Source organism: Homo sapiens, chromosome 1 (assembly GCF_000001405.40).
Source record: "Homo sapiens chromosome 1, GRCh38.p14 Primary Assembly".
Classification (NCBI taxonomy): Eukaryota; Metazoa; Chordata; class Mammalia; order Primates; family Hominidae; genus Homo; species Homo sapiens.
In genome coordinates, this window is record NC_000001.11 from 100,116,196 (window position 1) to 100,131,701 (window position 15,506).

General features: G+C 37.6%; 1 protein-coding gene across 6 annotated transcripts in view, besides 1 other annotated feature; it reads right to left on the reverse strand.

Annotated features, from left to right (window-relative positions):
- The window catches only part of SASS6 (SAS-6 centriolar assembly protein), a 49,361-nt gene that overhangs the window by 32,626 nt on the left and 1,229 nt on the right, over positions 1 to 15,506 (reverse strand). Inside the window, exons 1-8 of one of the 6 annotated variants that reach the window (XM_047447896.1) lie at positions 10,457 to 10,471; positions 9,687 to 9,747; positions 7,677 to 7,782; positions 7,015 to 7,094; positions 6,185 to 6,289; positions 5,183 to 5,354; positions 4,199 to 4,264; positions 2,823 to 2,942 (exon numbers count right to left, since the gene is read on the reverse strand). In XM_047447896.1, coding sequence (XP_047303852.1) covers positions 2,823 to 2,942; positions 4,199 to 4,246 — 168 coding nt within the window. In that variant the 5' untranslated portion in view covers positions 4,247 to 4,264; positions 5,183 to 5,354; positions 6,185 to 6,289; ... (2 more) ...; positions 9,687 to 9,747; positions 10,457 to 10,471. Of the gene's footprint in view, positions 1 to 2,822; positions 2,943 to 4,198; positions 4,265 to 5,182; positions 5,355 to 6,184; positions 6,290 to 7,014; positions 7,783 to 9,686; positions 9,748 to 10,456; positions 10,569 to 15,506 lie in introns of those variants that run through there. The other 5 variants (XM_017000486.2, XM_047447884.1, NM_194292.3 and 2 more) reach the window with 5 other exon arrangements.
- Positions 14,693 to 14,742: an enhancer, noted in NCBI's record as "active region_1373". NCBI's record gives its function as "activates an Ori minimal core promoter by ATAC-STARR-seq in GM12878 lymphoblastoid cells {active_cell/tissue: GM12878}" and the evidence as "EXISTENCE:reporter gene assay evidence [ECO:0000049][PMID:35858748]".

Here is a 15,506-nt window from a genome sequence, read left to right on the forward strand (position 1 = left end):
AAAAAGTGAAAAGGCAAGCTATAGACAATGAAAATATTCACAATGCATACATCTGACAAAGGACTCATGTCTAGAATATACAAATTCCTACAAATCTATAATAATACTAATAATAGGCAAATTAAACATGCTAACAACTTGAATGGGCACTTGAAAAGAGAATATTCAAGTGATAAATATGTATATGAAGAAGTGTTCATTATTATCAGATAGTATTACATACCCATAGAATGGCAATGTAAACCGGTATACCTACCTACTTTGGGAAACTGGTAGTTTCTGCCAAAGCTAAACATATGCCTATATATACTACAACCTAGCCATTCCAATAATAGATAAATATCCAAGAAAAATGAGTGCATGTGTCCACAAAAAGATAAGTACAAGAATGTTAATAGCAGTTTAACTAATAATAGCAAAATACCAGAAACAACTCAAATGCCTACCAATAGGAAAATAAATTATGGCAGATTCATATAACAATAAAAGGAAACAATAGAAAATAGGTGAATTTCAGAAATATTATGCTGAGTGAAGAAAGACATATGCAAACATATATGATTCCATTTACACAAAGTTCAAGAATTGGCAAAACTAATGAATGATGATGTAAGTCAGAAGTATGATAACCTCCTATGGACTACTGTTAGGACTAGGAAGCCATACAAGGGAACCTAGAGGGGTGGTCCAATTTCTTTATCTTAATTTGGGTGAAAGTTACACATTTAAAAAAATCATCAAGCTGTACTCTTAAGAGCAAGCATCTAGTAAAGTACATAAAAACAACAATAAAATGTAATATTAAAGAAGCTATAAGGCTGGGCACAGTGGCTCACGCCTGTAATCCTAGCACTTTGGGAGGCTGAGGAGGGCAGATCACCTAAGGTCAGGAGTTCGAGACCATCCTGGCCAACATGGTGAAACCCCGTCTTCACTAAAAATACAAAATTTAGCCGGGCATGGTGGCACATGTGTAATTCCAGCTACTTGGGAGGCTGAGGTAGGAGAATTGCTTGAACCTGGGAGGCAAAGGTTGCAATGAGCCAAATCATGCCATTGCACTCCAGCCTGGGCAACAAGAGCGAAATTCTGTCTCAAAAAAAAAAAAAAAGAAGCTATAGTACGAAAGGTAGAAAAGGAATTCATACTACAAAGCAGTAGAAAATAACAACCACAGCTGGGCATGGTGGCTCATGCCTGTAATCCCAGCACTTTGGGAGGCCAAGGTGGGTGGACCACGAGGTCAGGAGTTCAAGACCAGCCTGACCAACAGGGTTAAACTCATCTCTACTAAAAATACTAAAATTAGCCAGGCATGGTGGTGGCATGCGCCTGTAATCCCAATTACTTAGGAGGCTGAGGCAGGAGAATTGCTTGAACCCAGGAGACAGAGGTTGCAGTGAGCCGAGATAGTGCCACTGCACTCCAGTCTGAGCGACAGAGCGAGACTCCATCTAAAAATAAAAAATGAAAAAAAAAACAACCACACAGAAAAAGGGATGAAAAGACAATAAAAAATAATCCACAGAAGAAATGAAATGATAAAAAGTTATATTAAAAGATGCTTATCTTCACAAAACATATAAGAAATATAAACTAAAACTAGTACTAAGATCAGGTGGCAAATATTAAGAATTAAGAAGGTGGCAGGGCACAGTGAAAAAAAAAAAATAACCACACAGAAAAAGGGATGAAAAGAAAATAAAAAATAATCCATAGAAGAAATAAAAATGATAAAAAGTTGTATTAAAAGATGCTTATCTTCACAAAAAATACAAGAAATATAAAATAAAACTAGTACTACCTTAAGATCAGGTGGCATATATTAAGAATTAAGAACGTGGCAGGGCACAGTGGCTCATGCCTGTAATCCCAGCACTTTGGGAGGCCAAGGCAGATCACCTAAGGTTGGGAGTTCAAGACCAGCCTGACCGACATGGAGAAACCCCATCTCTACTAAAAATACAAAATTAGCTGGGCATGGTGGCACATGCCTGTAATCCCAGCTACTTGGGAGGCTGAGGCAGGAGAATTGCTTGAACCCGGGAGGCAGAGGTTACAGTGAGCCGAGATTGTGCCACCGCACTCCAGCCTGGGCAACAAAAGCAAAACTTTGTCTCAAAAAAAAAAAAGAAGAATTAAGAAGGTTAAAAACAATGTCAAGAATATGGGGAAATAAGTATCCTTATACACTACCTTATCTTTGGGATTCCATTTGGTTTAGTCTTTTTGGGTGGCAAATTTGCAGTATCCATCAATATTTTATACAGATATGTTGCAGTTTCACTTCTAGAAACTAAGAGTGCTTCTTGCAGTATTGCTTAAAATAACCAAAACTTCGAAGCATTTAAATGACCACCATTTAGGCAAGTAGTTAAATAATTTAAGTTAAACCCAAAAAATGAATACTCTGCAGTCACTAAAAAGGAATATCTTAACTGATACAGAATGGTATCACATTAAGCGAAGAAAGTTACAATCAATATATCCAATAAGACCCCATTAGTATAGAACAAAACCAAAAACCCATTATATGGGTACATATATAAATGACATAATTTACAGAGTTATAAGTTTATAAACAAATATTTATAAATTACATATTATTTACATATACGTAGAGAAAAGTCTGAAAAAAATACATCAAAATGTTTATAGATTATCTCTAGGTAGTAAGACTTTGAAAGAGAGGATTTTTATTTTTATTTTATATACTTCTGTAACGTTTGGAAAATTTAAAGCAAGCATATATTACTTTTAAAATTAACAAAATGACTAACAGCAATAAAAGATATTTTTTCAGTTTCCTTTAATGTTCTTACCTGCAAGGCTTTTTCCTTTTCATTTGTCAGTTCCTGAGAATGCTTGTTTGTCAAGGCTGCTGTATGTGACGCCCATTCATTCCGTAACTTATCTAATTCTTGTTTTTTTTCTGCTAATGTCTACATTAGAGTTTAACACAAAATATTAAGATAGGCTCCTTAATATGTAATAATTTTGATTAGAATATAGCAATATTTACAAGGATATTAAAGAAAACAAAATTATAGCTTTTCAGGACATGTTCAAAGCCTTTTCCTACACAAAATTTTTTAATTTTAGGAAATCAACATTAGAATAAGAACAATCTTAGACCCAAAACGGCCCACAGGTCAAGATTAACTATCTTTTAATTAAAGCTTTTAATTAAATCTGGCTCTTTACCACCCAATAAAGAGGGGTAAGGGGAAGCAAGTCGATTATAAGGAATAGTTCACTTACATATAAAACCCAGTAACATGGCCCTGTGGGCCACATTGTGCAGGGGTATTTTCTGCATGAGGCCATGCAGATTATCAGATACCGATATAGTTAGGATGTCTGTCCCCTCCAAGTCTCATGTTCAAATGTAATCCCCAACAGAGGAGGCAGGGCCTGTGGTAGGTGATTGGATCATGGGAATGGTTTAGTGCCATTCCCTTGGTGTTAAGCAAGTTCTCATTCAGTTAGTTCATATGAGATCTGGATGTTTAAAAGCATGTGGTACCTCCTTCCTCCCACCCTCACCATGTGACACTCCTGCTCCCCTTTGCCTTCAGCCATGACTGTAAACTTCCTCAGGTCCCCACTAGAAGCCAAGCAGATGTTGGTGCCATGCTTGTACAGCCTACAGAACAATGAACCAATTAAATCTCTTTTCTTTATAAATTACCCAGCTTCAGATAGTTCTTTAAAGCAAAGCAAGAACAAGCTAAAACAGATACTCTGGCCTTCAATTTCATGAACTAGGGCAGAAATGTTGTAGCTATGACTGAAATGATGCTAAGCCTATCAGAGGAATTAATTCTAAACATAGCAAAGAAAGGGAAAGGTTTAGAGCATAGGAACTGAAAAGCCATTTAGGCCAGAGGAATGAGGCGAACAAGTGGGGAGTGGAGAACTAATATATGACAGAAACATACATATCTTATTTAATGAAGACTCGAGGGAACATGTTATATATTGGGGATACAGAAATGTTTGTGTAAAATCAAGTATGTACAAGAGAAAGTATCAAATTAAGATAATTAAGTGGTAGTTGAAGGGTGGCAAAGAGGAATGGAAATTCAACGGAAGCATGCTTTGAAAGAAAATACATAAAAGCTTGGAACTGAGTCAAGGAAGCAATTCAGTGCCAATGTCTGGATGACTTACAAAGACAAAATGAAATTTGAATTACCTTTCGTGTAAAGTCCAGTTGCTTAGTAGCATCATCTAGTGATTGCATCAATGATAATTTTTCTTCCTATTCATAAAAATAATAAAATTACACAGTTTACAATGTAATCATCTATAGCCATGCTACTCAAAGTATAGCATCAGCATCATCCTGGAAGCCTGTTAGAAATGCAGATTCTTAGGCTCCATCTCAAATCTAAATCATTTTAACAAGATCCCCAGATAATTTAAAGTTTGACATGCACTGATCTATAGCATTTGACTAGAAAGACTCTAAAAACTCAAGCAGCATCCCTATGTTGTTTCCTTGTGCCATATAGCACTTTATAATTTTCAAGACATTTCCATATATCTTATCTCATTAAAGATGGGCTAGGGCCGGGCGCGGTGGCTCACGCCTGTAGTCCCAGCACTTTGGGAGGCCGAGGCGGGCGGATCACGAGGTCAGGAGATTGAGACCATCCTGGCTAAAACGGTGAAACCCCGTCTCTACTAAAAATACAAAAAATTAGCCGGGCGTAGTGGCGGGCGCCTGTAGTCCCAGCTAGTTGGGAGGCTGAGGCAGGAGAATGGCGTGAACCCGGGAGGCGGAGCTTGCAGTGAGCCGAGATCCCGCCACTGCACTCCAGCCTGGGCGACAGAGCGAGACTCCGTCTCAAAAAAAAAAAAAAAAAAAAAGATGGGCTAGATAGGGTAGCTATTTCCATACATGTCTACCAGTTGATGAAACCATGACAGAAGAGTTTAAGTGACCTGTCCAAAATCACACGATTGGTAAAAACCCTGAGACCTAAGCTTCTCAATTCCTGGTCCAGATCCATCCCGACTATACCTTGACTAAATAAGAAACAGTAAAATAAATTCGTTATATTTCATAAAACTTTATTTAGAAAACAAAAACTTATGGCAATGTATCTCTTCAATAATTTATCAAAGACCATTGATACTTATTTTGTTAAAAGAATAACTTAAATTTAAATCTTACCTTGCTACATTTCAAACAGCCTGCGAGAAATTTCTTTATCTCCACATCATTTCCAGGTAAAAGTTTTAGTGAGAGGTGTGTAAGATGCTTAAAAGGATTTGTCTCTACCACATTTAAAAATGCAGGTGAGTTATCCAAAATAGCTGCTGGAGAAACTAACTGTAGCAAAAACCTTTGAAAAGAAAATGTTACATTATAACACACTTAAGAGATAGTGAAAATCTCTCACTGAATCAGAAGCTTCTCTACTTAAGAAAGCTCAGGAAAGGGAGCACATTGAGGACTCCCAATGGTAAAAGATAAATTGGGCAAAAAAAAGAAAAGATTGACTGAAACACAGTGACTACATAAAAGTCCATGAGTTCATGAGAAACAAATGAGAGAAAAAGCAAAAACTAGAAACAAAAATTCACTGAGTGCCACAAAAGTAGACTACCAGCTCTTTACTCTAAAAATTGACAATTTAAATGCAAGAATTAAGCATTTATCCTTTATGAATTTTCTGAGTAATCAAATAGCCCTAATTGCTGAGGAAAAGTTCTTCTTTATAGAAGAATTATACTTAATATAGAAAAAATTATACAGAAGCATCATTTTGTTCTTCCTAATGAAATAACTGATTCAACAACAATCGTCAACTGATAAAACCAATAAATAAAAGGTTGATGGTGAACTTTACAGTAAAAGAATCAGGCGTTAGCACCATACACACATACAATCTTAGTCTTCCCTTTTTCCAATATCATTATAAAACCAAATATTTGATGCTGCTAAATATTTCGGATGACTTTAGTGCCTTTGTCAAGACATGAAAATTAAGAAATATTTCTGATTTTAATCAAGATGCCTTAAAGTCTGAGATTTAATGGAGGCCTAACCCCAGTTCTAAAAATAAACAGGGATAGTCATAATAAACGGAAAAGATTTTGCCATCAACTTGTGTTTCAAAGAAGAGTCTGTCTTGAATTAAATTTAATAATGTAGCATTCTCATGCAACTTACCTTGGAATTTCTTTGGCATGTTCTTGAGTACATTGCTGAAGGAGATCTATAAATTTTTGTGGGAAAGCTAAGAAGTCTACCAGAAGACCTTGCTGGAATTTTAAACTATACAGAAGAAAGGAAAAGAAATTTTTTAAAAATTTTAATTAACTTTGTTTTGTTTTGGTGCCTTTTTTTTTTTTTTTTTTTTTGAGATAGAGGCTCACTCCATCACCCAGGCTGGAGTGCAGTGGTGCAATCTTGGCTCACTGCAACCTCTGCCTCCCAGGTTCAAGAGATTCTCCTTCCTCAGCCTCCTGAGTAGCTGGGATTACAGGCACATGCCACCATACCTGGCTAATTTTTGTATTTTTAGTTAAGACAGGGTTTCACCATGTTGGTCAGACTAGTCTCGAACTTCTGACCTCATGATCCGCCCTCTTCGGCCGCCCAAAGTGCTGGGATTACAGGCGTGAGCCACCGTGCCTGGCCAATTACTATCTTTAATTATAATTAGCATCCTGAAGGATTCTTTTTTCAAATTTACTAACGCTTGTTATAATCAAGAACTAAGCTAAGGAACTCTGATTTTTATAGAACGTATTCAATGGGAAAAAAAATCAATAAATTCAGCAAAAGCTTCAAACTTCACAGGTGTTTTAAGCAGAATTCTAATAACCCACAAAATATTTATTTTCCAAAACACCCTAAGTAAAGATAGTACAAATAGCCCAATATTCCCAAAGTAACTAAATCTAATATGTAGGTATGTGTTTGAAAGAGAACAGTACCAATAAAACTTAGAAACTTATTTTTTCACTAAATATAAGATCAGAAAAAAATTTAGTTACCTTTGAAAATCTTCCTCAGATATAACAAGGTTATATAAAAAAAATGGATCCGTGTCATCAGTCAGACGAATAACTAAGTCCTAAAAGAAAGTTTGTTGTTTTTAAATGTTTTTACTAGATCTGGCCTTTTGAGTAATTTCTTCTCAGAAGTAAAGAAATCCAACAACATCAGTGTATCATAGTTATATTGCAGACAGCTTTGTTTTCTAGTGCTGCTGGTTTTTTATTAGTCTTTAGAGAGTTAGAATCTTAAATAGGGGTAGACATTCCGCTCTTTAAAAGCCACATGGAGGTCTGTAAAAGTTAAGCAAGTGCTAGGAGTTGAAAGTTTAGGAATATCCTCCTATCAGAGGCTTGGGGAAATTTAGACCCAGTCCTTGCTACACCATAACATGATGAAAATTTTCTTTACCACTGAACATACCACATTCAATTTTATTTTTAGTTTCCTTAAAGTTAACTGGTATGGCATTTCAAAAGTGGCAAATATATCAGCAGAACTGACAATAATCCACACTAGAAAAAAGAGCTTCTGTCTCTCAGAAGACCAGGGTATCAGGTAACACGTTGCCAGGCTTCTTCCAAAGAGCCTATTCTCTCCTAGGCCAGGTGGCCACTGATATGGAAGCCCAACTGTTTTCAGTCTCAAATGAAGTAAGTACCTTTCATAAAGATCACTTTCCAGGTAGCTACGTGTACATAGTGTGGGAGACCATCATAACAGCTAGAGCTCACAAAAAGTACACCAAAATTATGTACCAGAGAACACTGGTGAAAGAAAAACAGCATTAGTTACAAGATGATGTAAAACTAATAAAGAACTGGGCATTAAGGTTAAGAATTCATTTGAAATAAAATCTCTACTCATGTCTACTGAGGAAATGCTAAGATCCTAGAAAAATCTAAACCACTTATGCACCAAGCTAGAAAATGAAGAGGTACAGCAGGCATAAGGAATAACATGTAAGAAGTATAATATATCATCTCTACTCTGGAAAATTAGTAATTTAGGCACCTGCTCTGCCTCAGAATGCCTTGTTCTTAAGCAGCTTCTATTTAAGTACTTCCTGAAATTCACCCAGGATGCTACTTAAAAAACCAAAGGTACTATTAATACTACTAGGTCCTTGAATGTGTTCAGGGAAAGCTATGGCACACAGAAAACAGATGCTATATTTCAGTGTTTTTTGACATGGGGTCTCGCTCTGTCGCCCAGTCTAGGTTGCAGTGGCACCCTCACAGCTCACTGCAGCCTCAACCTCCCAGTCTCAAGTGATCCTTCCACCTCAGCCTCTCAAGTAGATGGAACTACAGGAGTGTGCCACCACATTCAGCTAATTTGTGTATTTTTTTGTAGAGATGGGATTTCACCATGTTGCCTACACTGGTTTCAAACTCCTGGCTCAAGCAATCTGCCTACTTCAGCCTCCCAAAGTGCTGGGATTACAGGTGTGAGGCACTGCCCTTGGCACAGATGCCGTATTTCTTAGTTCTCTGTTCCAGTGGCCCCCAACCTTTTTGGCACTAGAAACCAGTTTTGTAGAAGACATTTTTCCAAGAATTAGGGAGTGAAGGATGGTTTCAGGATGAAACTTCCACCTCAGATCAGCCATTAGATTCTCATAAGGAGCATACAGCTGAGATCCCTTGCATGTACAGTTCACAATAGGGTTTGCACTCCTATGAGACTCTAATGCCACCACTGATCTGACAGGAGGTGGATCGTAGGAGGTTACACTCGCTTCCCTGCCTGCCACTCACCTCCTGCTGTGCAGCCTGGCTCCTAACAGGCCACAGACCGTACCAGTAAGTGGCCAGGGGGTTGGGGACCCCTCCTCTATTCTATATCCTTAGTTCTGTTAATGACTCACACTTTTGAAGGTTATATGAGACTGATACTCTAAATGCCTCTCTTCAAAACGTAAAGTAAAAGATTCACAAATATCTCCCTGCAGTACTTCGGTTTATTGTTTTTACATTTATACCATGAAATGCCAATTCTACAAGGCAGCAGTGTGTGTGTGTGTGTGTGTGTGTGTGTGTGTATGACCAACAGCAATAAAATATATTTTTATATATATGTTATTATATATATATAATATGCAACTTCTAAGTGCACTGGGCAAATCTAAGGAGAATGTCACCCCACCCCACAATTTTTCACGTATGTTTTAGAAATATATGGTATAGGCCGGGCACAGTGGTTCAAGCCTGTAATCTCAGCACTTTGGGAGGCCGAGGTGGGCAGATCACAAGGTCAAGAGATCGAGACCATCCTGGCCAACATGGTGAAACCCCGTCTCTACTAAAAATACAAAAATTAGCTGGGCGTGGTGGTGCATGCCTGTAGTCCCAGCTACTTGGGAGGCTGAGGCAGGAGAATTGTTTGAACCCGGGAGGTGAGTGAGCCGAGATCGTGCCACTGCACTCCAGCCTGGTGACAGAGCAAGACTCCATCTCAAAAAAAAAAAAAAAAAAAAGAAATATATAGTATAATTATCCTTCAGTTGTTGTCTCAGTAGATTCCACCACCCTTGATTTCCAACAGTTGCAAAATAGCCTAAAATGTAAAAGCAAAATAAATGCAATAAAAGATGTCACATTCTTAAAGAACAAAACTAATTGTCTACAATGTACCGAAATGATATTTCAAAAAAGGACTAAATACCAACCTTTCTGTGAACTGGATTAGAAACTGATTGTAGTTCAATGCTCATTCTTATACTTACTCTCCTGTAGGAAAAGACATACCCAACCATCAGAAACATTCACACGAAATGAGTTATCACTATCATTTGTATTAAGTTTTCAGTCTTAAGTGACAAGACTTTCCACAGGTGTTCTCTAACTTATGAACAGAAGTTTGAAAAGCACACCGGATTTGAAGCTTAATTTCTTCTTGTTCCACTAGTGAGTAATCTAGCAGTGTTTAACCTAAAACTAAATTTTTCTCACCTGTAAAATGGGGATATCGTGAGGATTAAATGAAATAAACACTGTGGAGTGCCTAGCACTAGCCTGATATATGACTTTGCGGCCCTGATTGTAAAGTAACATCTATTGAAAGACAAACCATCAATTTAGTAACTTTTCAACTGTAAAATGGGGATGTTTTGAGGATTAAATGAGGTAAGAACCTCATATACCCTTACTGCCCTGATTCTAAAATAACATCTAGAAAGACAAACCACCAATTTAGTAACAACTTTTCACATTAAAAAATTACCATGTCATGTAATCAAACTGATTAATGAGAGACTGATTGCATTTTAAAAACTTAGTATGTGGCCCGTCGCAGTGGCTCACACCTGTAATCCTGGCACTTTGGGTGGCTGAAGCAGGCAGATCACTTGAGGTCAAGAGTTGGAGACCAGCCTGTTAACACGGCAAAACCTCATCTCTACAAAAAATACAAAAACAAGCCAGGCGTGGTGGCACCCACCTGTAGTCCCAGCTATTTGGGAGGCTGAGGTTGGAGAAATGCGGAACCTGGTAGGCAGAGGCTGCAGTGAGCCAATACTGCACCACTGCACACCAGCCTGGGCAACAGAGACCCTGTCTCAAAAAATAAAATAAAATAAAATAAAAACTTAATATGTGAAGCGATATTAGAATGCTTTGAATGTTTAAAATCAAGGAAATAACATATTCCCTACATTTATTCATACAAAAACGTATTTTCACATCCACGAATTAAATCTGCTTAATATATTCTTTATGTAATAAAACCACAGAAGTATTATCAACAAGTTTATTACACCTATTTTATCCTTGAGTAAAGTAACTTTAAGCCCTGAGAGGGAGAGACCACAGTGTTCCACATCCTATGCTGTATCTTAGAGAATCCAGAATTGGACAGAGGTATATAGGTGAAAGTGCTCATAAACATTAATCAAATAGAGCACAAATGCTTATATAATTCAGAAAATAAAGGGAGAAATTAGTAAAAAATACCTATGCACAAGTACTTCTCAAACTATTCTGCCAGAATTAAATAACAATGGCCTTTCTTTGATGTGCAGGTAGAAAAAAGTAAACTAACAAATAGAATTTGTTCAATTTTAAGTTTTTCTTCTAAGGACTTCTTTTAAACCTTTTCCACACTATTGCTTATCTACTACACAAGTAAAAAGTATAAACAGCAATTGAGTACTGATAGGAAAACTTGGAAACAGTTGATCAAGGCTAGATTCAATTGTTTAGATTTTTTAATGCTGACTTGTAATTTTATATGGGTTTAAAATGTGTCATTTTAGTTAAGTTTCTTGTTGAACATATGATTGGATGCTAAATCTCCGTTTGTACAATAAGGTTAAATGTTACCTCATAACTTGTATCTGTTTTCTGAAAAGGAACAAGAAGCACTGGTTTACACCAGAGAGAGGAAGAATTATTTTCAAAACAAGAGAATACACTGTTGCTATTTTTCTAGTATCTAAAGCAACATATGTGAAACAGATTAGAGTGTTACTCCAATTCCATTTAAGCTTTCCTGAGCTGGGCACAGTGCCTCCCACCTGTAGTGCTGGCTACTTCAGAGGCTGAGGCAGGAGGATAGCTTGAGCCCAGGGGTTCAAGTCCAGTCTGGGCAACACAGCAAGATTAAGCTTTCGTGGTGGGGTGGGGGAGGGGGGGACTCAGTTTCCGAACTTGTAAGATAAGTGGATTCAACTAGAAGGTTTGTGAAAACCTTTTTAGCTCTACATCATTATGTTTGGTTTTCATCTTCTGAAGTTTTCTCTAGTATAAATGCCATAGTGGTATGATACTGCAGTTGGTATTTAACTTTTTATGGTGCTTTACAGTTTATTTTTATTTTAATTATTTATTTATTTATTTATTTTTGAGACAGAGTTTCGCTCTGTCACCCAGTCTGGAGTGCAATGGTGCGATCTTGGCTCACTGCAACCTCCGCCTCCCAGGTTCAAACGATTCTCCTGCCTCAGTCTCCTGAGTAGCTGAGTTTACAGGGGCACAACACCACACCTGGCTAATTTTCGTATTTTTAGTAGAGATGGGGTTTCACCATGTTGGCCAGACTGGTCTCAAACTCCTGACCTCAAGTGATCTGCCCACCTCAGCCTCCCAAAGTGATAGCAGTACAGGCGTGGGCCACTGCACCTAGACGGTGTTTTACGGTTTTAAAAGTCCTGTCATACTTCATATATTTGCAAAAAGTACAAGAAGAATTCACTTATCAAAGTGTTCTTTACATAATCCTGGAAGAGTTATATTACTATGACAATTTACCAATCATATTAATGATATTGTTGCATATATTCCAAATGCCTATATACATTAGATGTTGAAAGAAAAAACGGAAGGCCTGTAAGTTAAACGAATTCCCCATGCTTAGTTAAAAAACATCCCTAGAAATATGCTGTAGAAAAATACAAGCTTTCAGAGGATACGCTAACTAAAATCACAAATCTTATTTTTTCCCTTATAATGGTTAATGTCATAAGAGCAATATAAAACAATAAAAACTCAATAAAATGTTATTTCTCATCTCAATAGATGTCGTACTCAATAGATGTCTAATACTAATGACATTAGATTTAGTTATGAGTTCTTCTAAATAAAAAGTATTCTAAACATCAGGCTTGCTTTAGCACAACTGGATTCTAGGCCATCTCTGACACCCAGTAGCTGTGCTCTTAAACTATCAATCAAACAAATAAAAGGTACTTTAAGCCAGGTATTGTGCCAGGTGCTAGGGATACAAACAGAAATAAACATGGTCCAGGGGCTTGGCACAGTGGCTCACATCTGTAATCCCAGCACTTTGGGAGGCTGAGGTGGGTGGATCACCTGAGGCCAAGAGTTCAAGACCAGCATGGGCAACATAGCAAAATCCTATCTCTACAAAAAATTTATAAAATGAGCCAGGCATGGTGGTGCATGCCTGTAGTTTCATGTACTCTGGAAGCTGAAGCAGGAGAGCTTAAGACCAAGAGTTTGAGATTACAGTAAGCCATGATTATGACACAACACTCTAGCCTGGGCAACAGAGTGACAGCCTCTCTCTAAAAAAAAAAAAATAATAATTTTTGAACATAGGATGACACAAACAAAACAAAACAAAAAAAACCATGGTCTCTGTCCTCAAATTGAGATGAGATTAATGACTTTTTGCTAGATTTGCTTCTGATTGCATTTTAGGGCTCCATGAGAGGGGAGGGAAGGGTTACCAACACTACTGAGTACCTGCCAGGTATTCTACATATATCATCTTATTTAACAATAATCTTGATAAGTAAATATTATTTATTTTACAAAAGAAGAACTTAAGGCCCAAATAATGGTTTAAGGTCACATTACAGAGCCCAAATGAAAACTCAGATCTTTCACCTACACCACACTATCTAATAACTGAATAATGGCAATTCATTTCAACTTAGGCAACTTTGAAGGGTCCTTATAGTGAAAGGATTTAAGACATACCTGAAAGTTATGAAAGAAAAAAGCATTTGAGGCACAAGGAACAGCAGGGGTAATAGTATAGAATGAGTATCAGGTATATTCAGAAGGTAACAAGAATGCTTGTATGACTTTCATATTGGAGAGATAAGCTTAGGAAACAAAACTGAAAAGGCAGATTAGTGTCAAATCATGGGTTCCAAAATTTTGCATAATTTTCCACCAGATGAAGTTCCCTGATCATTACCACTGTCCTCAACTGAATTTCCTTCTTCTCTGACTTTAGTGTACTTATATTACTTTATGCATTTGTCACACATTAATACCTAAAATTTAGTGAACATTTATTATGCTCTAGTCACTGTTGTAAGCAGTTCATATGTATAATTCATTCCATTCTCATAATACCATGAAGTAGGTACTGTTATTACCATCAACTTAAAGATGAGACACAGAGAAGGAAATTGTACAAGATCTGTCAGTAAGTGGAAGAACTGGGACTTAAACCCAGGCAATCTGGCTCCAGAGCCTGAACTCCTAATCTGTGCTATGGTGCCTGTTCAAGGAAAATCTTATTTCCCCTATTAAAATGTGAGTTCCTTGAGGGACAGAATGAAAAGAGGTTTTTGTTGGCTTTTGTTGTTGTTGGGGACGGAGAGGGGGGTGCGTATTTACATCCTCCACACTTAGGACAGTTCCTGAGACACAGCAGACATTTGCCAGTATTTGTTGAGCTGAACTGGCCTCAAATACTCAACCAAGGCGTCTGGGCTGGGCGTGGTGGCTCACGCCTATAATCCCCGAATTTTGGGAGGCTGGGGTGAGAGGATCACTTGAGCCCAGGTGTTCAAGACCAGCCTGGGCAATACAGGGAGACCCCGTCTCTTTTAAATTAAATTAACAACAAAAAAAAGCCAGGCGTGGTGGTATGCGCCTGTAATTGCAGCTACTCAGGAGGCTAAGGTGAGGGGAACCCTTGGGCCCAGGAGGTCAAGGCTGCAGTGAGCTGTAATCGTGCTACAATACTCCAGTCTGGGCAACAGAGCGAGACTCTGTCTAGAAAAAAAAAAAAAAAGAGAGAGAGAAAGAGAGAGAGTCTGGGTTGTTCTTCCTATAGGTCAAGGATCACCAAATTATTCTGTAAAGGGCCAGATAGCAAATATTTTAGGCTTTGCGGGCCATAAGGTCTCTGTCACAATTACTCATCTCTGCCCTTCCTGTGCAAAAGCAGCTACAATATGTAAACAAATGAGCATGGCTGTATTCCAAGAAAAGTTTATTTACGAAAACAGTGAGCCAACTGGCCCATGTGCTCCAGTTTGCTGACCCCTATTATACAGATAATAGGAATATATTAAAGGTTTCTAAGCAGAGAAATTGAGTTTTTAGATTAACTGTGATGGCAATGTAACCAGAAAGAGACCATCTAGGAGTTTCCATATTGAAACCAAAGTCATGGCCTCCTTTATCTTTCTATAATCATTCTAAAACAGTGTTGTCCAATGGAGATACAATGTAAGCCACAAATGTGAGCCAGGTATGTAATTTTAATTTTTTTCTTTTTCTTTTTTTTTTTTCAGAGACAGGATCTCGCTCTATCACCCAGGCTGGAGTACAGTGGCACAAATAGTAGCTCACTGTAACCTCAAGCTTAGGCTCAAGCAATCCTCCTGTCTTGGCCTCCTAAAGTGCTGGGACTACGGGTGTGAGCCACCATACCTAGCCTACTTTTAAATTTTCTAGAAGTCACATTTTAAAAAGACTTTTAAAAGCAGGTGAAATTAATTTTAATAATACATTGTATTTAACCCAATATACCCAAAAATATTGCCATTTAACACATAATATAAAAATTGACATATTTTACATTCTTTTTTCATAGTAAGTCTTAAAAATCCAACGTGCATTTTCATATGTAAAGCACAACAATTCAGATAAGCCCCATTTCAAATGTCTAATAACCACATGTGGCTAGTGGCTACCATACTGGACAGCATTAAAAGAATGATCAACTAAACCTACAGATCTCCATATGCAGCTGCTGGTTTTGGGACCATCTCCTTGACCGGCTT